Raw genomic sequence first — 21,990 nt, 5'->3', positions numbered from 1 at the left:
CATTCAAGGTTGGCACTAGAAATGATACCTATTTGCCTTCCTGGCATATAACATTTCTAATTTCTCCCTCTCCACTGGCTTCTTCTTTACTTCCTCCAACACACATAAGCCTTTATATTCAATAACAAACAGTTGTGGAATGCCTACTGCATGCCAGTGCTGTTTAAGGCAATAGGAAATACAGAGGTAACAAGAACTAGCATAATGTAACTTACACTTATTGAGGGAGACAGACAATAAACAATCATTAAACAGATAAATAAGGTTTTTCCAGACACTGATCAGTGTCTTTTGTAAGACACTTAAAAAAAAAATAAACAGGGTAACGTGACAGAGAAGGACTAGGGGTGGGGGAAATGGGCACTGGTAGAGTGGCCAAGGAAGTACTATCTAAGCAGATAGTGTCAGATCTAAGTGATAAACAGTAAGACACCAACCACACAAGGAGAGAGCGCAGAGGGGTTTCAGCAGAGGGAGCAGGAAGTACTAATGTCCTGAGGCAGGAATGAGACAGACATTCAGGAAACACACAGAAAACAGATGTGGCTGGAATGCACTGAGCCAGGGAAGAATGGAACCAAATGACGTTGGAAAGAAGCAGGAGCCCAATCGCAAAGGGCTTTGAAGGACATGTCAAGGAAATTACCCATGTTATCCTTAGTGTGATGAGAGGTCAGTGGAGAGTTTAAGTAGAAGAAAGTACTAGACTGATTACTTTTGCCTACCTGGAAAAAATACTCACTTGCTCCACCTTTGCTCATCATCTTTCTCTCCATCTCCCCACATTCACGGCCGACGTTCATGAGCGGGCCTGTACCCACCACACCATTTCCTCACCACCAGCCTCCAGGCACTGGGTAATACGTTCCATTTCCTGCACTCTCTCCAAAACTCCTTCTCAAAGCCATCTCAAAGATGCCTTCCTTTGTGCACATCTCTCTTGAACCACCCTCCCCAAGCAATTTACTCACTCACAAACTTTTACTGAGGCCCTGTTTTGTCCCAAACTTTATGTCAGTCCCTGGGGATCGTCCCTTTATGTCAGCAAGAAAGACAGTCCCTGGCCCTCAAGGAACCCAAAGTGTGATAATTAAACCAGCCTGACCACTCAATTCTAAGGTCTAGAAAGTAGTCACTGAGATGAACATGGGAGATGGCAGGATCCTCTCAGTTCATCTGATGAAGGCTGAGTGAGGGAGACAGGCAGGGCAGAGGGAGGAAGCACAGCTACTTGAGACATGGGGACAGCAGGAGTGAGCCAGGCCAAGGAGAGGGCCATATTCCAAGTTGGTGGAAACCAGAAGTGAGAAAGTACCTGGCAAATGTAGGAACTGGTTCACATGGTTCAATAGGCCAGGAAGCAAATTTCCTCCCTATTATTAAAGTGCTCTGTTTACTTAGTCCATAGCAGTTTTCTTTTGGTTTTATTCATTCCTTACAAATGTTTTTCTTTATAATAATGTATTGAGTTTTTAAATATATTTTTAAAATATGGTTATTGTGAAAACTGATGAAAAATATATAAGAAAATTAAAATTAGTATCAGCTACCTGTTAATACTTTGCTGTATTTCTTTCTAATTCTTTTCCCAATGCCATCTCTGCCTCTGCCTTTGCCTGCTTTGGTAGGGAGGACATTCACTTGTGTGCCCCCCTTTTTTTCTTTAATATTACACTGTAAACATGTTGTTCATAATTGATATAATTTATTAAGCAAACCTCTGTTAATAGATACAAGGTTTTTTTCTAAGTTTGTGCTAGTAGATATGATTATTCTTGTACATAACTCTTTGTTTACATCATGGATTCTGATACCAATTTCTGGAAGTAGAATCAACAGGTAAAAATGAATGAGCATTTCTAAAGCTCTTGGTACAGATTACCAAGTGCCCTCCAGAAAGGCTCTGCTAATTATGCCCCAGCAGCATCAAACGAGTGCTTTATATCACTCCACACCCTTGCTAGCAATAAAAATGGTTGTTTAATTAATTGTTGATATTTTGTGGGTTAAAAATAAACTCATGGCTTTAATTTTTATTACTTTGATTTATAATTTATAATTTTTTTGGTCCATTTATGTTGCTCATGTAAATTTTTTGAAGGTATTATTGTCTCTTTTTTCCACTGGAATATTAGCATTTTTCTTACTGGTTTTAAATGTCCTTTATAGATTAATTACATTGCATCTGTAATTTTTACGTAGTCACGCTGTAAAAACACTTTTTTTCAGCCTACATTATTTCAATTACAAAAATAGCAACACAAATGGTATCCTCAGAATCCTGCGTAGCCTTATCCCCACCTCACTTCACTTCTTAAACAGAACTTCTGGTGGAGGACCATTCTTCCATCAAATGATCTCTCTCAACTCCTCCCAGATGGTTAGAAGTCCTCTGTCTCATAGAGTGGCACCATCTCCATATGGCTCCCCTCCAGTTTTTCTCCATAGGAAACCAGAATGATTTTTTTTTTGTTTTTTTTTTAATTTATTGTACATGCATCAATGGCTTCCTGGTGTAATCAGAATAAATTCCCAGCTCCTCCAAATGGTCTGTGTGGCCTTCTCCAAGGTCCGGCATTGCATTTCTGTCCCTCCTTATCCTGCACGAGCTTTCCCCTGGCTCACCAAACTCCAGACTTGGCAAGCCTCCACCCCGTGCTCTGGCCTGCTCTTCAGCTCCTTCCTCCTTCAGAACACCACATCCACGCCACTATGCCAGAGCGGCCTTTGCTGACTTCCCAGTCTGTTATTCTTTCTCACGAATCTAGCTGCTTCTTCTCATGCTGGGCACTGCTTACAAACTATAAACATTTTATGATTGTCTGGTTAACAAGTACCTCCCTTACTAACATGGTATCTTCATACATCACTTGCTTTTTGTTTTTCTTTTCTTTTTTTTTTTTTTGCCAGTGTGTGCCCAATGGGAAGGATGGAGGGAAACAGGGGAGAGGATTCTGCTGCCTTCTCAACTCAGTTCTACTCACCTTGCAGTTAGCAGAGAGATTGCCAGTGTTACCTTTTGGTAAGGGTGATCTTGCTCAACCTCAGCTTAAAGAGGACTTTGTAGGGGCAGTGACATCTGGTCTGGGCTGAATCTCACAGGATGAGGCAGAGATTGGCAAATGCACTCTAGACAGAGACAGCACATGTGTTGTGGCTACAACAACATGGCACATTTGAGAAAAACCACAGGACAAGGCCTACCTTCCGAAGAAATTATTCTCCCTTCTTCACACTGCCACAAACCCAGTCTCTTTGCCCATCCTTTGCATTATGCCAAAAATTATACACGTAGGTGCTCAGTAAATACTGGATGACATACGAATGAATGATTCATGACATCCCTCAGTTAAAGCAATTTGCTTCTCCTAGAATATCCTTTTTCTCTCTCTCAATCTGAATTCCATCAAGTCCTGGCTGGAGACCCACCTTCTGAAAGCTATTATTATCCAAGAGCAACACAAATGACCTGCACTTATTCTGAATTTCATCTTTCAATGTTCTAAACTTAATATTTTCTGTCCAATCTTGTCTTCCTAATTAAACATAATGTCCTCAAAGGCAGGGATTGATCTCCTCCTTCTCCTCCTCTTTCACTTTTTATAATTTTTTTTTTGTTTTGGTAAACTCAAATATGCCAAATCCAAATATACCATCTTAGAGAGTAAAAGTTTAATTTCTATGAAAGGAAGGGAAGAAGAAAGGCAGGGAGGGGGAGAGGGAGTTTGCCTTGCTTGCTCTTGAGCTCCTTCCTCCTTCAGAACACCACATTCAGCCACTAGGCCACAGCAGCCTTTGCTGACCTCCTAGTCTGTTTTTCTTTCTCACGAATCTAGTTGCCTCCCTCTCCCCCTCCCTCCCTTCTTCCCTTCATTCATTTTAGTCTTAATATAAAAACTTAATATGTAAAATCCCCCCACCCCATTTTTATAATCTTTTTAAAATTTAAAATTTCCTGAAAAGAATTTGAATGAATGAATAAACAAGATTCTACTCAAAGGCTTCAAATCTTCAGCAAAAGATAGTATACCAGTGCTTCATACTTTGTAACCAAAGGCATTAATTTGCAACCCTTTCTTTTCTTAAACAAGTAAGATACTGTGATTCCTTTTGATGCAATGTAGCAAACCAGACACAAATAGCAACAACAACTTTTCAGACACAAAGAGACATCACTGTTATTTCTACCTTAATGCAGATGGGCCTGGACTTATGAAAGGGCTACTTCCTGATAAACCCATCCGAAGTTGAAAATGTTGTAAACTGAAAGTGCATTCAATACCAGATAAACCCATCACAAACTCAAAACATTTTAAGTTGACCTATTGTAAATCAGAGAGCATCTGTTTTTCTGTATCCTTATGAGCCCTCAAATCCATTTTCTTTAAATGTCCATCCCCATCCTGTGGGCCAGTCTGCCATATCTTGCAAACACTTCCAGTTGGGCTTCCTTCATCTACTCTTACCCTTCTCAGTACTTTCCTATAAAGACAGCCAGGAAGAGCCAATCTGCTCATGGCATTTCCTCCTCAAAAATCTCTTGGTGGCTTCCTTACTTATAGGGTAAGGACCAAAATCCTTAATAGCACCTACAGGGCTTGGCATGTTCTGGTTCACCTCATCACTTTCGTTTCACACCAAATTCTCTCATTCTCTGGGCTCTGGCCAAGTGGCCCTGCCTTCAGTTGTTCACCTTATTTCCTCTAGCTAGCTACAGGGTCTCTATTCATGCTCTTTGTTCCTCAGCTCAAAAGCTATTTGTTTCCTGGGGAAGCCATCTTTGATCCATACAACATTGCACACACACTCAGCACAACATGCTTTTTCTTCACAGCACTTACTACTTTGCAACTATGCAAAGTATTTGTTGTATAAAATATGTATTTGTTCATATAATTACCCATGTAATGTCTGCCTTCCCAACCAGTCTAAAAACTCCCTGAAAAAGGCACTGTGTGTTTTGTTCAGCATTATATATCCCTAGTGCCTACAAGATTCTGGGCTGTAGGAGGCTTATTTAATAAATATTTGACAAATAAATGCCATCTGCATTTTCTATATATATATTTAAAGCTACCCTAGCCAAAATTCTGATAAACTCAATTTTACAGACAAGGGAAATTAAGTAGGGTATTCCTCTTCAGATAAAAAGATGACAAATTCGCCCAAATGTACTCATACATTTATTTGCTGCTGGTCCACATAAATTGCTTATAATTAGTTACATTTCTCCCAAAACAATTGAAAACAATTCAGTAAGCTTTACTTAAATGATTTGGGGCTTTTCATGGGCTTTTGCTTTGCAAATAGCATACTTCATTTTTACAAATGAAGAAATAGCCTTAATATATAAAACTCCTCAAACTTAGGAGGGGAGATAAATTGGGATAAAAAGCAAGGAAAGACACAATATTTTAGTTTGTAAAATTGGTTTATTTACAAATTGGTATTTTAAAATTGTATTTGAAATTTTTATTTTTATATATTTCCCTGGCAGGCATTCTATATTTTCTTAAATATGGAGGCAAAGGATAGGAAACCTGAGTAAATTTAAGAGATTTACCTGCTGCTACAGTCAGTAAAATTTAACTTTTAATCCCTGAGTATCAGTAAAGTGTCAAAAATAGTATTTTCATACTTTCAAATGTAAAAAAAAATTTAAGAACACAGAAAATAAAGAATGAAGCTACTATAATTAGCCTCTCCACAAATAACAATGAGAAGTCACTCTCTTACAAATTAACTGAGGGTGTGTGCACATGCATTAAGTTATTAGGTGCACTTAGACACTACGATGCTCTAGTCCTCAACTTTTTAGTTTGTCCCATTTGAAAAATATTCCTGGAAACTGATATGTAACTTAAATAATAGAAATGCCCATTGCTAGCTCAACTTCCCCCCCTTTCTAAACTTTTGTGTTTTATGTATTATGGATTTTCCCTTACTGTCCAAGACCAAAATTACCTGATTACAACCTAAGCCTCAAACTGCAATGTTTTTGTAGTCAACTTTGGAGCAAGTCACTTCAGTTTCCTCAAGTATCAAATGAGGATAATTATAGCTCATAGGGATGTATAAGGATAAACTGATGTTCATCCAACATCATGAAATCTCCAAGGAGCTTTCTATGTAAGGGGTAATGCTCTTCTGGAACATGTGATACAATCATAATATATTCTTGCTGCTCCTTAACGACAGATGACTTAATACTCCTAAAATGTCAGCTTTCTTCAGAAGAGTTAATATTAACTCATTAGTTTCCTCATTAAGCTTCCTTGAGACACATGGGAATGGCAATTATGCTCCCACCCCATATATATATATGAAATGTACCGCAGATATTAAGGATATGACCATAGCAAAATAGTAAGTCAAAGTCAAACCAAATAAGGAAACAAACCAAAGACTTCGCAGTAAGATGTAATTTTCTTATGTATGTGCAACACACTGGCAGTCATTTTTCATTTTGGACAGTGCTAAGTATTACTAATGACAAGGGTTTATCTGCCTAATAACCCAAAGGAAATCAAGTGTAATTCAAACTTAAGAAAAAAAAAGAAAGCCACATATACCTTCCTCAAATCCCTCTTAATGCTCTTTTCAAAACATGAAGCAGTCAAATCAATTTCCCCTTCTAACAGACCAACACTAATGTCAACTAGGGACATTTTCTAGAGCTAGTTTGAAGACAACTTCGAAGTTCCAAGAATATTTATTTGTGTAGCTGTTCATTCCAAAAGGGATAGGACTGTAGAGACTCAAACAGAATTGCACATTGATCAATTTTAAAAAGCGCTTTTGAAAGATCTGATAAAAGGAAAGAGAATGAGTAGGAACTATAATCTCCTGAGTCAGTCAGTCAGATCTGGACAAGAAATTTTAAATTGACATTGCCACTTTAGCACCAATTTTCAATTTTGTACATAATGCACATCTCTTAACACTTACATTTCTAAATATATTGGATTTTGGGGTTAGTTTGCTGATTGGGTTTTTTGCACTGGGTGTGAACTTTAAGAAGCAAGATTAGCAGTAACAAAAATCTATGGCCCAGGCTATGACGAGGCAATTGGGAACTCTTATGGCATTCCCTTGTTTAAGCATATCCCAGTATTGATGCAGGGAGCCACACTAAGTAATTCCTTGGCTGTTGGTAACAGAAGGGAAATAAATAATGATGTGAGGTAGTTCTTTCCACAAGAGGGTAATATCTGACTACACAATATCCCTGCAATGTCTGACGAATTACTAGAGCATCTGCTTGCTGTCATCTGTAAGTAAACTCTTAGCTTGGTACTAACTGAACTTGACAAATCATGAGCTAATTGCAGTTCCTAGGCCTTATTTTCTGAGCCAACCGAGGCAGGAGACACTACAACACAAAAAAATGTGAACCACAGAGACCACCAAGTACAAAAACTGCAAACTCATAAGCATTAAAAAACATTGGGTGGAACTGGTTAGAGCACATTAGAATAATTTACCAGAACTTGTGCAGAGAAAAGAATGAAGACTGGTGGGGAATAATTGACAGGTTCTGCTCCCCCAGCTTAACTATCATTGTGAAGGTTAAAATAAAAGAAGATATGAAGCTCTAGCATAATAAAGAACACAGCAGAGGCTATATATAAAAAAGTTAACATAAAAATCTGACAGGTGAAGGAATAGAATATCCTGGGAAAAGCAAGAACTACTTACTAAAACCTTTGTTTTTCCACTTGGAATCTGCATACTTATATTGAACTAATAAAGTATTGCTATGAACAAACTAGTAGAATGAATTATTTTAACTTCTCAAGACCCTGATATAGAGCTATCCATTTTGCATTCTAAACCCTCTCCAGGCTAATTGACAAAGGATAATACCAGAAATAGATCAGGAGTTAAATTATAGTTAGAAAGGGGAGAGAAGTAAGGTAGGACATTAAAATTTTATTCTGAAATTATCTCTGGCCACAACAATAAAATTTAACAGATATTCACTAAACAGTCTTACTCCTGTCATCAGCTGTATAATACATACAGTATCATAGAACTGGCCACTAGGATTAAAATCCACTAGAACATATTTAATGTTAAGTGGCGACAGCAGCATCTCACAGAAATTTTTACATACATATATACACAGTCCACATTCAACCATTTTCACATATTTTCAGTACACACAGTTGCAGCATATTACAGTCACGTGTCTAAGTTGTTGCTCGATAAAAACCCAAGCCACTGCCTAGACAGAACTGTAGCAGTTGAGCTGAGTATAATTACAATTAATTTTATGTATGTCCATAGCAGAGAGATGTACAAGCCCCTAAGAAACAGAGTTCACAAATACTTTTTTTAATGCTATTACAGCATTATGTTGGGCAATATTAAAACCTTTACCGAGACCAGATCAGTTTTTTTAAAAAGTCTTCTGCTTACCAGAAATATTTTTGATGAAAAAAATTACAAAAATGAATGCTCTCCTTAAAATAATTCACACTTTAGGATTCCAATATGGCCCAATGCTACTGATGCCTAAAGTGTTTTCTAACATTCTGATGGAGTCATTTAACACGACCCCAAACCACCCATTAAGTTTAAAAGTGGCTTAAGTGCCTTGCACCCAAATTGTAAAAATCCCTGGCCATCCTTACTAGAGCCAGGCACATATAAAAGGAATGCACTTTGGTTCATACCAAATGCCCTGGGATTAATCACACTATAAAATTAAATGGTTTGAGGTAAATTTTTACAAATACAGTTGATTTTTGTCTAGTGTTAGCATAACAAAAAAAAAATGTAAAAATCAGTCTGATGTTAAGATACAACAAAGACCATCTTTAACCCCTTAAATATAGGAAGTCCTTGTGTAACACTACCTGATGGTTATCTTTTTTCAGTGCCTGAAGATGAGTCATGCCTTATGGTTTCTATTAAGGCCTGTAACTAGATATTTAAGACAGATGTATCTTTGCAGAGATGGGTTCCATTCTTACTGACTAGAATTCGAAGAGTTAAAGAGGCCAAAAAATGCATGCCCTACAACATGGCATTCAGAACAAAAGGCACATTGTTAACACTAAGGGCACAATTTCTCCTCTACCGTTAATCTACAGTGTCTTGCACCACTCTGTTGTTCCACTGCTGTAGCAATATATTTAAGTGGTAATGAACACGCTGGTGGTGCAAGAAACAGAGCCAAATGAGACTGCCAAAGACAAGACAACACTGTGCTATTCCTAGATCTGAAAACAGCTCAGACATCCCCAAACAATGGTAACCTGTGAGACCAAAAACTGTTTCCAAGCCAACTCCTAATAGCCTATCAGAGCCTTCATTAATTTATGTTTTAAAATCACAAAGATGCAACATTTTTCTTTTTTTGACATGACAATCAAACTAGAATTTTATTAAAGCAGCTCTATTACTAAATGCTGAGATGTGGCAGCTCTTGTGAATAAAAAAATTTCACTGTATTTGGAGGGAAAAAAAAAAAAGCCCTACAGTGCTGCACATTATTATAGTTTGGTATAAAAGTTTCCGGTTTCCATTTATAAATAAAGATAGTCTCAAATTCATTGCTGGCATCTTAAGAACCAGTTTTGTGCGGTGGGGGAAAGACAAGCAGTATTAGTCCATTTATAAATGTTCACATGTATCGTCATTTTATAGGGAAATTAATAATGGCAGGCTCAGGTTTGTATATTTAAATGTAAATGTGAAGATAACTGGAAATGGAAGAGGAGCATTAGAAGAGCAAAACAGCATTATATGTTTTTATTGATTTAATGACCTAAAGAAGCTAACCATCATTAAGAGGCTGGTGGTCTTACAAAGCCACCAAACCAAGTCTTATACTTCTCATGCCTTTAAGCCAAAATCTAATATACAGATCTTTAAATTCTATAAGCCATTGATTGGGAGTATTGTCACATGAGCATTATTTAAAATGTAACTTACTAACATATTATTGCACTTCCACAGATTACACAGAAATGTGTATAATATGCTAAAAAATTTGACTAAGGGAAAAGAAGCTATAATTTCTAAACACAGAAGTACAAATTAATTTATCAGTGACACCTTAAATAGTAAAGCAAATATCACTATTTTAATAAGGTAACCTTATTACTGGTTTTTTGGCAAATATCTGAAATATTTCCTGAGCATTTTTTTCCACCATCAACCAACGAAGCCTAAATTAAAGTGTTTTTTTCAAACCTTTTTTTTTTTCTTAAGATAAACTGTAGGATTATTATTAAAGAACTTAACCGGAAACTTTCTTGGCCTCACTGGGGACCACGCTTTTAAGTACTTGTAAATCAATTTACAGGTAATACAATAATCTCTGTGCATATATAAGCTTACTTATCCTAATCTGTACTACCCAAAACCTATTGTCCAAACAGGCAGAAATCTTTCTATATTAAATTGCACATACTAAAAAATTTTTTTCACGTGCCTTGAAATTGATATAGATCATTGCTCATACATTAGTGATAAAATACTGAAATTTTCACTGTGAAAATAATTATTATTCAGAGAAGAAAATATTCTTTTACCAAACTCTCAGTTACTTTGCCAGATAAAGTGTCATTCCCACAAAAACAATCAGTGCAATCCAAAAGAAAGTAAAATAAAATAGAGGAATGCTATCTCTGGGGTTCTTCTAATGATACGAAGAATAAGTCAAACCATTTAACTTGAGGTTGAACTTTTCCTCCTCTAAACGTGTTGTTAACATTGGCCTTACTGAACAGCCAAAGTGACTTCTGTTCGTCCAGAGGATTTTCAACCCTCTTTCTTTTTAAAGAAAGAGTTGATAGTTTCCCAGGCTGAGAGAACCTTACAGTGGCACCTGAAAAGTGTGAACTCACTCTAATCTGCTAAATCTTCTTTGGAACTATGGAAATCCCCACCTTAAGTAGCTAGGCTGCTGTTCTTTTTTTAATTGGAATATGAAACAATGGTCATAATCACAGCTGAAATGTCTCTTTTCTGTATTAACAGTCTGGGATACACAGCTGAAGGAAGAAGACAAACTAAATGCAAGCAACAGACGTGTGGTATTAAAAGAGGAACAGAGAGGAGAAAAGCAGAGAAAAGGGAGGAACAGTTCATGGAATACAATTCTAAATTTAGGTGCAAAAGCAACTCTGTAATATGAGGCTTCTTTACAAAACAGCTCACCGATCATACTAGAAAATTTGGAGGAACACACACGTTTCCATTCCCATTTATCCACTAAAAGCTGCTTTGCCGGCTTTTAGAATGTCAGAATGCTAACTGGGCAGTTTAAACCTTGGGGATCTTATTTTGTATTTGTTTGAGCACTAGAGGAAAATCTCTAAGGTACAGTTTTTCTTAGAATGTCACTTTGATTCTGACCGTTCTCCTCCCACTACCCCCAACACCCAGATTAATTTATGAAAAACGGAAGCAGGACATGCTACACCTGTGCATGGACCTGGAGCATGGAGGGAAAAGGAGGGCCTTAAGGGGCTGTCACCCTGGGGAGGATATAACATGAACCATAAAAACATAGTGAATGTCTTTGACACCAATCTGTAAATGCGTGGCAGTCATGAAGTAATCAGTGGCCTGCCACTGATGTTATTATTCTGCCACACTAAATACAGTAAGGCTCATTGTACTTTTAGAACACAAAAAGTTTCTGAAAGTATAAAAACTTAAAGCATTGTCCTCATGTATTTTATAAAAACAAAATGAACAACTTTCTTACATTAAAATTAAGTGCTGAAAAGATACAAATGAGTAGAGTTATTGAGCAAATAAAAACAGGTCTGAGCTACTCCTTTTCAACCCAGTAAGGCTCAGCAATGTCGTATCTTTCAGGTTACCAGCATCAGGGGACGTGAGCTCAGCTAACAAGTTTTGGCAACACTGTCCTCTGCTGAATATTCCCATTGGCATCTGTCATCTGCGCCAAATTAGTCCTCAGTTTGGAAGCTGAGCTAGAAGGTGGAGGTAACTTGGATATAGATGTGATAGCACCGGTGCTCTCAGTTATCCTTTTCACTGACGTTTTCTCCCCGGTGGGAGGCTTTGGCAACCGCCTCCTCAGCCAGGGGTGCCGCAAAGCCTGGCCTGGGGTCATGCGCACTGCAGGATCCCACTCTAAACACTGTTTTAAGAAGTCAAGGAAAAGGGGATCATCACACCCCTTCAGCGCGTTCCCCCACTCTCTGCTCTCCGGTGGGCCCCTCAGTTTCCCCCTCCGGGAACGGCCTCCGTTTAGGACCACAGAGCCATCTGAGAGAGTCGTGACAGTGCAGTAACGGGGATAACCCTTGGAGCTCACAAAATTTTTGGCTCGTTTGGATGCATCCAGCAGTTTCTGTGAGGGCATGCCCAACAGTTCAATCATACAGGCCAGCTGGTCCCCTTCATCTTCCCCAGGCAAGAGGGGGTAACCCGTCAGGAGCTCTGCTAAAATGCAGCCCAGGCTCCACATATCAATGGGCATGCCATACCTGGCCCCAAGGATCACTTCTGGAGCCCGGTAAAAACGCGACTGGATGTACGTGTAGACACGCTGATGCTCGTAACAACTGGAGCCAAAATCAATTACTTTAATACCGCTTCTACCCTGCTGCTTTAACAAAATGTTCTCGGGCTTAAGGTCACAGTGAATTATTCTGTTTTTGTGCAAAGCATCCAAGCACTGCAGAATCGAGTGGGCAAACTTGCGAACCAAAGGCAGACTGAAGCCCTGGAATTTATTCTTCTTGATGAGCTCATAGAGGTTCATGCTCAGCAGCTCAAACGTCATGCAGATGTGGTTGCGGAAGGTGAAATTCTCCAGCATATGGATGACATTCATTGTGTTATCCTTGTCCTGCTTCCGCAGGTGTTCCAGGATTCGGATCTCCTCCGCTGCTTGCCGGTGGAAGCGCTTCTCATTCCGCACCATCTTTAGGGCCACGTGCTGGTGGACTTTGTGATCGTAGGCCTTGACCACCTGCCCAAAGCTCCCCTTCCCAATGACCTTGAGGACCTCATACCTGTAAGCCACGTGATCGTGGGGCACCTGCACATATGATCCCTGGTCATCATCATAGCCACCATTGTTGGGCCCACCTGTCATGCCCTGGCGCTTCTTAGCATTTAGACCCAAGAAATATATTTCAGGGTAGCTGAAAATCTCATGGTGTTCGAAGGCTGTGAGTTTTTGCATGTATTGCTTCATTGCTTGTTCAGGTGTCATGGGGGTGGCTTTCACCTTCCCCATGCCTTCCATGGACTTTAGAGAGGTGGAGCTCCCCTGCCGTCTATGAATGCTGTCCAGCTGCCGCTCTGGCACCACTGGCAAGCCCGTTTTGCCCACTGTTGTAAGCCCATTTGGTTGTGTCGTGAGCACTGTCCGCTTGTTACTGTTATCCTCAAACAACTGTTGAACCTGGATCTGTCCGTGAGCGTGGCTGCCGACATGCAGGTGATCATTCATTGTGTGCTTACTGCCGCCAATCTGGAATTCAGACAGGAAATATAAATAGAAAAGAAGTGGTGTCTGTTCAAATGGTGTATAAGTAACCCCCAACAACACCACCGCCCCCAACCTCACATTTACAAAATCCCATTTGGTTTGAGTAAAAGCCACAAAACATGTGATCCTGAAAAATGGACCTCATAAATGCCATGCCTAACAGACAAGATGGTTTGCTGTACATATTCAGGGTTCCCCACGGAGACAGAGACCTTAACTTTATCATTCTATATCTAACACTTAGTATAGGGCCTGGCACATCATAGGTGTTCCACTCAATCCACATTTGATACAAAAATGAAACAGGATACAGAAAAAAACATGCACACATAAGACTCTATGTTGGCTCCTCCACCCCCAGATCACAGCACCTTTCATATTTCATCTAGTAGTTTATTAACATGAAGACAGGGACCATGTCTGTCTTGTTCACTACTCTTTCCCTAATACCTAGAGCTCTATCCTGAAAACACTTCATCACCAGTATTTCCCCTTTCCTTGAAAATCTGATGAAACCTAAGTGCACACATGATCCAGTGACAAAAACAAAAACCCTGTGTTTTTAGACTTGAAAGATTCCCATGTAGATGTGTACCATAGTATCTTATGGACCCCTGACCTATTTTTAAAAGTTTCCAGGCTTTACTAACTGTAATAACCATTTAAGGCATTCAGCCCAACAAACCAAGCAACGACCACACTGTTTGGCCTTCCTCCGGAGGGGTCAGTGGCTCAGCTCTCTGAAGATGTCCATTTCTACAAGCTGCTGGGATACTCAGATTTCCAAATAGGAATCCAAAGAAGCAACCTCTGTTTCAGGTATGCATGCCATCCCTGAACATTCCTGTCTAAATTCTATCAATGGTGTGAACCAAGGGACCCCAGCCCTCTACTGAGAATCTTCTTGGGATTTCCTTTAAGCATTATGGCTGCTGAGAGGTAAGGGGTAGGAGAGGACTGGCAGCCAGGATCCTCTCCCAGTTAGGAATTCCTGCCTTGGACAACCCCTAGTCTTAAAGCAGCCTGGCAGGTGATTTCTGTATGAAATCTTACACCACCTTGTCATCACAATCCACCTCATTCAGTCAACTGGTATTAACAGGAGGCTGGCTGCCAAAGTGACAGAGTCCCTGCCCTCCAGGAACTTACAATTAACTAGATGAAGTCCACTGCCATCAGTATTTTTTCTACTATCCCCTTTTAAATCCTACCTTTGGGGCTTTACATACTACTGAAAGAGCAGAAGGGCTCTGTATATGTAACACAGTAATTCAAAACATGATTTGGGAACACCTGGATTACAAAATGAAATTCCAACTCCTTCTTACTAGCAGACCAAGACGTTCACATTTTCTTTATTGGATACATAATATGCACAATGACTATGTGGAGTGTGAGCTTCCTCTCTGCCCACTTCTAACTAAAACAAAACAGAAGACAATACTTGGGGCCTGTCTGACTGTGACTTCATAGGCTCAGGGATATCATTTCTTAGACTTATAACTGAGCTTTTTTATCACACTCATAGATGATACTCCATGCTAGGTGACCTTATATTCAATAAGAGTAGCTAGAAAGGTTATTTTACCCTTGTTCTATGCCAAAAGCAGGGCAGTCCATAAAAATGAATCAGGCAAGTCTTGGGCATATATAAAAGAGGTACAGGCTTGTCCAATGCTTCTCTTCCCCAGCCTCGCTCTCTGCACCCTCTCCTGTCCACTGTGGTCTTTCAAACACCAGACAATAAAGGGGCCTGAATCAAAATATCTCTCTCCTATAGAATCATTTTCTTTAGAGTGGAGTGGTGATATTTCAGCAGAAAAATTCACATTACCTGTATACATGCTATAAAAAGCATAAAGCTCTTCATTAGGACAAAATTAACCTTGGGGCTTTAGAGATTTCTAAAAACACAGCAAAGTAAAACCAAGCCTCAGAAATTTACTTCAAGCAATTTTTGTGTTTCGCATAATTTAATACATGATCACAAATGTTTTAGTAACTAAAACTAACGAGACTGACAAGAAACGACCATCTTCTATATCTCCAACTGCCTTCTCTTGGTCTCCTTTGCAGCATCAACTACTACCTAACCTTAGGTGGATTCAAGAGTTCCCCAGGGTTCAAATCTCGATTCTCTTGGCTTCTTACTCCCATAACCCCCTGCAACTGATCCTGAACACAGCCAGGGCTTCAGCAACTGCCCATGGCCTGATGTTTGCGCATTTGTTCCCTGAGCTCAGACCTTCCAAGGTGCTATCTCCTGAGTGGAAGACACACATATCCAACTATCGATCAGCTCCCTCTCCCATAAGCAACTCAAACTTAACTCATGATTTTTCTAACAAACCAGTTTCCCACTTCCATAATCCTCCATTTTTGATAAAAAGAAGGCTTCCCCTCCATGTGTCACTCAGGCTATCCACCTGCGAATGAATCCTCAGCACTGTGTGCCTGGAAAATCTCAACACCTCCCTCACCTTCCCAAGTCACCAAGAAGATGCATCATTACTATCCCAGGCCCTTTCCATCAACACTGCCTCATCTCACTCTCCTGATGTCTTTCACTGGGACAACTGAGGCAGCATCGTAACATGCCCCCTTGCTTCTAAGTCTAGAATTCCTCAAATCTCTTCTCCATAGTGCTTCTAGAGTCTGATTTAAAAGTCTCAACCTGAGACCACTCTTGCTTTTGCCCAAGGCCTGTGGCTGTAACCTATTTCCATAGCTAATGCAAGAACTTACCAGTAAGAACACAAGGCTCTAAAATGTAGAGGCTAAATGATCGGAGTCCTTCCATTCTCATCAACTACTGTCACTCTTCTCTCCAAGAGAACAAAGCTAGATAGCCCAGGACCCAAAAAACACCACACACTTTTACACTCCTCTGCTTTTAGTGAGGTCAGGTTTCATAATGGTAGATTTTCAGTTAGACACACATTAAATGATCCAGCTCCACCATTTACTAAATGTGTGACCCAGGGCAACTTATTTCATCTCTGTTAACCTCAGTGCCCTTGTCTGCAAAAAGAAGGTAACAAAGTTACCTCATTAGGGCTTTTAGGGGGATTAAATAAGGTAATATGTGTAAAGTGCTTAGTAGTCAGTCAATGAGAGCATTATTATTGTCCTTTCCAGATATTTCTTGTAATCTCCTTTCTCATACCTAGGTGATTCACCCTTTTACTTATTTCTCTTTATTGCAATTGTTTTAACATCAGATGTACTCATCTGGCTGTGAGCAATTCCAGGGCTGGGTCCCCTCTTATGTTTCCAAGTCCTCATTAACATAAACCCAGGCATATAGTAAGCCCTCAATAAATATCTTTGGGATGGAAGAACACATGCCAATAGATCCTCCTTGTTAACTCTTGCCTCTCTTGGAGTTGTTCCTGAGAACTACATTGTGTACCTTCATAAGGAAACATGAAGTCAAGGCCCAGGGAATTAAGAAACGTCCCTGGTGACCTAAGTCACAAGACGTTAGGCTTGCAGTGGATCCGCACAGACTTGGAGGCCAAGGACCTCCAAGCATAAAGTACCTGTAGCAGACACATCAATCAAACCATGTATAAAACACTTGCAACAAACACATCAACCAAACACCTAAAAGCAACACATGCAATCTTAAAAGCTTTCCAGATGTTAGAGATTCATTTGAGAAGCTCTAGCAAAAGAAGACTTTGAATCTCAAACATTGCAGGACTCTAAAATCACAATCAAGCTCAAAAGCACAATTAACTGACTTATAAAAAATGGGGCAGAGAGCAGGGTGGGGGTGCTGAGGGACTAGAAATGCCAGAACATTTCCAGAATACGTATGTCAAGACTACATCATAAACTTAAGGATACTAAAAACCTCTCCCTCCAGCTCAGCCTCTTGAAGTCTGAGATCATGGCTTATTCCGATATGCCAATGTATAGCACAGTGTGTGTCACATTTAAAAATACATACTGAGGCCGGGCACAGGGGCTCAATCCTGTAATCCCAGCACTTTGGGAGGCTGAGGCAGGTGGATCATTTGAGGTCAGGAGTTCATAACCAACCTGGCCAACATGGTGAAACCCCATCTCTACTAAAAATACAAAAATTAGCCAGGCATGGTGGCGGGTGCCTGTAATCCCAGCTACTTGGGTGGCTAAGGCAAGAGAATCGCTTGAACCCCGGAGGCGGAGGTTGCAGTGAGCCGAGATGGAGCCACTGCACTCCAGCCTGGGCAACAGAGTGAGACTCCGTCTCAAAAAAACAAAACAAAACAAAACAAAAAATAAAAACATAATACAATTGTTAAAATAGCTACAATTTATGGGTTCGAATTGAGAGACCTGCAAAGGCTTCTTTGATCATCAAGTACTTTGGTATTAAATATTATATAAAAACAATAGTCTAACCAGTTTGGTAGTTTTCATTTCTTCCAATAAGAAAATGGCAAACAGCAGATATTCCACTGTGATAATAGTCTTGGGCGTTTAAAAACTTTTCTGAAGTCATCTTAGAAATGCTGTATAGTATTATGGTAATAGAATTGAGTCCAAAAAGACTGGAATTTTAGCTCCTCCTCAAACATTCTGACAGTCTGTGTGGCCCTGTCAGAAAGAAAAATGTCTACTTTTTCTTCTTCAAAATACTGCCATTTTTTAAAATGTGTATTTCAATTTGAATTATTTTATAAAGGTAAAACTGATAACTGGAGTGTTTTACATAGTAAAACAGTTACAAAAGTTATACATATTTTAATATTTTTGAATTTAAAAATACTTCTATTAATAACTACCAATTAACATTAATAGAAAAATAATAGGAAGTAAGACAGTGATTGGGCACACTTCTCTCTCTCACACAAACAGAAATAACTAAAGTGTAAAACAACTTATACATGGAGATATAAAACAAAAGGGCAATGGTCTAGATAAATTCCAAAGTTTATAATCTTTATAATCATATATTTAACCTGCCTACTATATCACCTGTAAGAGAAAATGTGGGCAAGCTCCTATGACAAGATCATTTTTATCTCCTTAATGCCCTCCCGCCCCCCATTCATTCTAGAAGTTCTTCCTAGGTGTAATTACTCTGGAAATAATAACTAAAAATTTATAAAAATCTGACAGACATATGGGAATATGGATCTACAAAGGTTCTTGCATTTATAATGAGGCTAGTACAATTTCCTAGAATTAGCAGTCTCCATCAGTATATTAAAACTAGATGCAGGAGGATGTAGGCTTTCACTCTGGCCTTGATATGAACTGGCTGGGGAATCTTGATGAAACCAGTTACCTTGTCTGAGTCTGTTTCCTCATCTATAAATTGAAAGAATAGAACCAGATAAACTCTGTGGTCCTTGTAACCTTTCCTGTACTATGAAATCTGCTATGTTATAGAAATAAAATCAAAACTAAACCACCATCGAAACCCAAATTCACACCTTCAAAGTCAAGCATCTAATAATTAACAGCATACCGAAGTTTACACACACGTTAAAAACAAGTAAATCTGGCATATGCCACAGCAAAATACAGGCCTCCATTATGAGGAGTACTGAGAAGCACATTCGCATCCTTCCTTTTCTGGTGCACCACAGGCTCTCCCTCCAGTGGAGACTTGTCGTTTCATCTACTTTCATTACATGTATTTCAATTGCAAAGAGGCTCTGATCAAGCAAAGCCCATCCTTACAAAATTGGAATCCACATGCAAACCAAATAGTTCTTTTTCCAGCTCACACCATGTCATGTGATTACATCAACACATAGCAAAAAACTGGGTATTATATTTTCCAAATTGTCAGATGATCCCAAACAAAAAAATCCAAACCCCTAAAATCAATGGCAGTCCCTTAAATATCACTGTGACAAGAACACTTAACAGTAATATACAGAATCATCCATCCTACTATACCATCCACAGTCCAACACAGGTTAGTTAACCTCTGTGCAATGAATTCCCAGCCCCTGGGACCAGATGTGTCAGGATAGAGAGACAGACAGAGGGAGGGGGAAGATAGTAACAGCAACAAAACATTTTCCTACGAAACTTGCACACATCTCTCCAAGTCTAACAGGTGCAACTACAGTCTAGACATCCCCTCACAGTTCTCTGACAAACAAGTTTCCCCATAACATATGTCCCCAGAGCTACTCCCCTGTAGACCGGAGATGGCCTTTTCTTCAAGAACTCAACTTTCACTTAGCAAATAAAACCAATCCCTAGCAAGCCTCCCTCACACAGAACCATCTTAGGCTGTTCCTGTGGAAAATCCAATTGGGAAAAAAAGACCTCCAAACCATCACCTCCTCCAAGTGCAGACCTCCTCCAGGCTGGCCATCACCATCCAAGGGTGATCCCTGGGAGCTGAGAAAAGGTACATGCTTTAGTCGAATCCAGCTTGCCAGTCTCCGCAGCCACCAGCAACCAGTCCCACGCTGGCCTCTCCCCTCCCAGAGACCACAGCACCTGTTAGGTGCTTTTTCTTTCCCACCTCCAAAGCAACGCTTGCCCTTTCCTTTTGAATAATGTCCAACTGCAGAATCCTACAGGGGTGGCTTGTTTTGACTGCTGCGGCGGCCCTTATTTTTGTTAATGTTGATTACAATTTCTGCTGTGCTCAAACCTGTAGCACTCATAAAACATGCTTACACACGCGGGGGACAATTGGCGATGCTCCCTGCTGGCTGGAGCCAGGCCTGGGAGGCTCTTTGGGGGATCGATTTTCCGGGCAGGCCGGTCTGGCTGTCCCCTAACACGTATCTGTTTCTATAAATACCCACTACCCACGGGGAGGTGGGGGAAGGACAGAGATGTTTACCGGGTCAGGGAAGGGAACTCTGGGATGCAAGGACGAAAAATGAGGAAAGAAGGAAAGCAGCAAGGAGGAAGTTCCTAGGAAGAGGAGGTCATGGGTGGGCGAGCTCTGGAGGGGAAGTAAGGGGCCCACGCCACGAATCTTCCTTTGTGGCTGCAGCTTTGGGCTCGCCCAACTTAACCAGGGCGGCGTCGACGAGAGACCATCGGCCCGAGGCGTGGGGCTGCTTGTATCTCGACCCCTCTTCTCCCGGCGTCAGACCCCTCCAAGTCCGGGTGCTTCGGCCTGGGGCCCCTCCCGCCCCCACCGCCCGGGCCGCCCGCGGGCTGGGTCTCACCGTGTGGGCTGCGGCGGCAGCGTTGCTGGCCCGGAGAGGCGGCAGGGCGATGGGGGAGGGCGGGCCAGTCCCCACTCCGCTCCGGGTGGCCCCTGCACCGAGCCCCGGGGAAGCCTGAAGCTGACGAACGGCGCTGTCCCCACCTCGGCCTGGAAGCCACGTGCGGGAGGAGACAAAAGAGGGTCAGGGGGGAGAAAGTCACCCAGACCCCCCCTCCAACCCCGCTGGGCAGCGACAACCCTCTTCCAAAGAAAGACGGAGGAAGAGACCGGGGCAGTAAAAACGGGCGTTCGGGTCACGGCTCCCCAGCGCACACCCACGGGCGGGGCGCGGGCAGCTGCAAAGTTAAGTGGGGCCCTGGCGCGCGAGTTCGCGACCCGGCGGGGGAGCCGGGCCGCGCCGGGGCTAGGCGGCCCACGTTGCAGACGGCCAGCAGCCGGGAGGTGGGTTTGGACAGCTGAGCAGGGAGCCACGGCCACGCCAAGCCCCGGGCAGCGCAGGGCGGGGCGGCAGGCCTGGACGGTCCCCGCCCGGGCCCCCGGCAGGCAGAAGCCTCTTCGGGCCGAGGGCTCCCCGCGGAGGGGCCTTCGGGGCCGCGCACAACCCTGCATGGAGCCCGGGGCGCGTCGTCCGCCCGGGGGCTCCCCCGCGCCGCGCCGCCGACTTTGTTCGAGGTCCCGCAGGCAGCGGCCGCCCGCGCCACAGGGGCTGCCCAGGGCCGGCGGGGGTCCGGGGATGCGGCGCGGCGGCACGGCCTCCTTACCGGTCGGGTAGGCGGCGGGAGCGGCGGCCGAAGGTTTCCTGGTTAACATGGCCGCTGGAGAGGAAAATGCATTTCAGGGCTGCCGTCGCCGCCGCCGGTCCTGCTGCTACTTCTGGCGGCCGCCGCCGCCGCCTCCCGGCCGCCCCTCGCGCGGGTCCCCGGCGCCTCGTCGCCGCCTCGCGTCTGCTACAGCCAGACACACACAGTCCACTGCATCCCCTCGGCCGGGGCCCGCCGCCGCGAGCCCCCCGCTCTCCTCCTCGCCGCCGTCCTCCTCTTCCTCGGGCGGCTGCAGCACCCTCCGGCCCGTGCACATGCCTCGCCCTCCCCTGCGCGCCGCGGGCCTCCCCGTCTCCCTCACATAGGGGCGCGGGGAGCTGGAAGCGCTGCGAGGACCGAAGACCGCCTGGCTCGGGAGCCTCTCCCGGGCCCGCGCGCGCGCGCCCCCGCGCACTCACACACAGGCGCCGGCGCGCGGCCCCGCCCCCGCCGCCCTCCGCCGCCCTCCTCCGCCGCCGCAGGCCCCGCCCCCGGCTCCCCCGGCCGCGGCCACGCACACCCCACCCCCACCCAACCTCCCGCCCGGCTCCTCTCAG

At 42.4% G+C, this 21,990-nt stretch overlaps 1 protein-coding gene across 3 annotated transcripts, besides 4 other annotated features; it reads right to left on the bottom strand.

Annotated features, from left to right (window-relative positions):
* Positions 1-5,170: 5,170 nt before the first annotated feature.
* DYRK2 (dual specificity tyrosine phosphorylation regulated kinase 2) lies at positions 5,171-21,832 on the bottom strand. Of its 3 annotated transcripts, NM_006482.3 has the most exons (3): positions 21,395-21,832; positions 20,632-20,780; positions 5,171-13,471 (listed from the first exon to the last, which is right to left on the bottom strand). In NM_006482.3, the coding sequence occupies exons 1-3, from the start codon at positions 21,441-21,443 to the stop codon at positions 11,864-11,866; spliced, it is 1,806 nt and encodes a 601-aa protein (NP_006473.2). In that variant the 5' UTR covers positions 21,444-21,832; the 3' UTR covers positions 5,171-11,863. The 3 variants fall into 3 exon arrangements, with proteins under 3 accessions (NP_006473.2, NP_003574.1, XP_016875521.1); NM_003583.4 differs by lacking the exon at positions 20,632-20,780; XM_017020032.2 differs by lacking the exon at positions 21,395-21,832 and having other exon boundaries at positions 19,783-20,700.
* Positions 19,310-19,359: an enhancer, noted in NCBI's record as "active region_6630". NCBI's record gives its function as "activates an Ori minimal core promoter by ATAC-STARR-seq in GM12878 lymphoblastoid cells {active_cell/tissue: GM12878}" and the evidence as "EXISTENCE:reporter gene assay evidence [ECO:0000049][PMID:35858748]".
* Positions 20,440-20,829: a silencer, noted in NCBI's record as "silent region_4644". NCBI's record gives its function as "represses an Ori minimal core promoter by ATAC-STARR-seq in GM12878 lymphoblastoid cells {active_cell/tissue: GM12878}" and the evidence as "EXISTENCE:reporter gene assay evidence [ECO:0000049][PMID:35858748]".
* Positions 20,990-21,649: a silencer, noted in NCBI's record as "silent region_4643". NCBI's record gives its function as "represses an Ori minimal core promoter by ATAC-STARR-seq in GM12878 lymphoblastoid cells {active_cell/tissue: GM12878}" and the evidence as "EXISTENCE:reporter gene assay evidence [ECO:0000049][PMID:35858748]".
* Positions 21,660-21,959: a silencer, noted in NCBI's record as "silent region_4642". NCBI's record gives its function as "represses an Ori minimal core promoter by ATAC-STARR-seq in GM12878 lymphoblastoid cells {active_cell/tissue: GM12878}" and the evidence as "EXISTENCE:reporter gene assay evidence [ECO:0000049][PMID:35858748]".

This window comes from Homo sapiens, chromosome 12 (genome assembly GCF_000001405.40).
Source record: "Homo sapiens chromosome 12, GRCh38.p14 Primary Assembly".
Lineage (NCBI taxonomy): Eukaryota > Metazoa > Chordata > Mammalia > Primates > Hominidae > Homo > Homo sapiens.
Note: the sequence above shows the minus strand (reverse complement) of the source record. Positions and strands in the feature narration are given on the sequence as shown.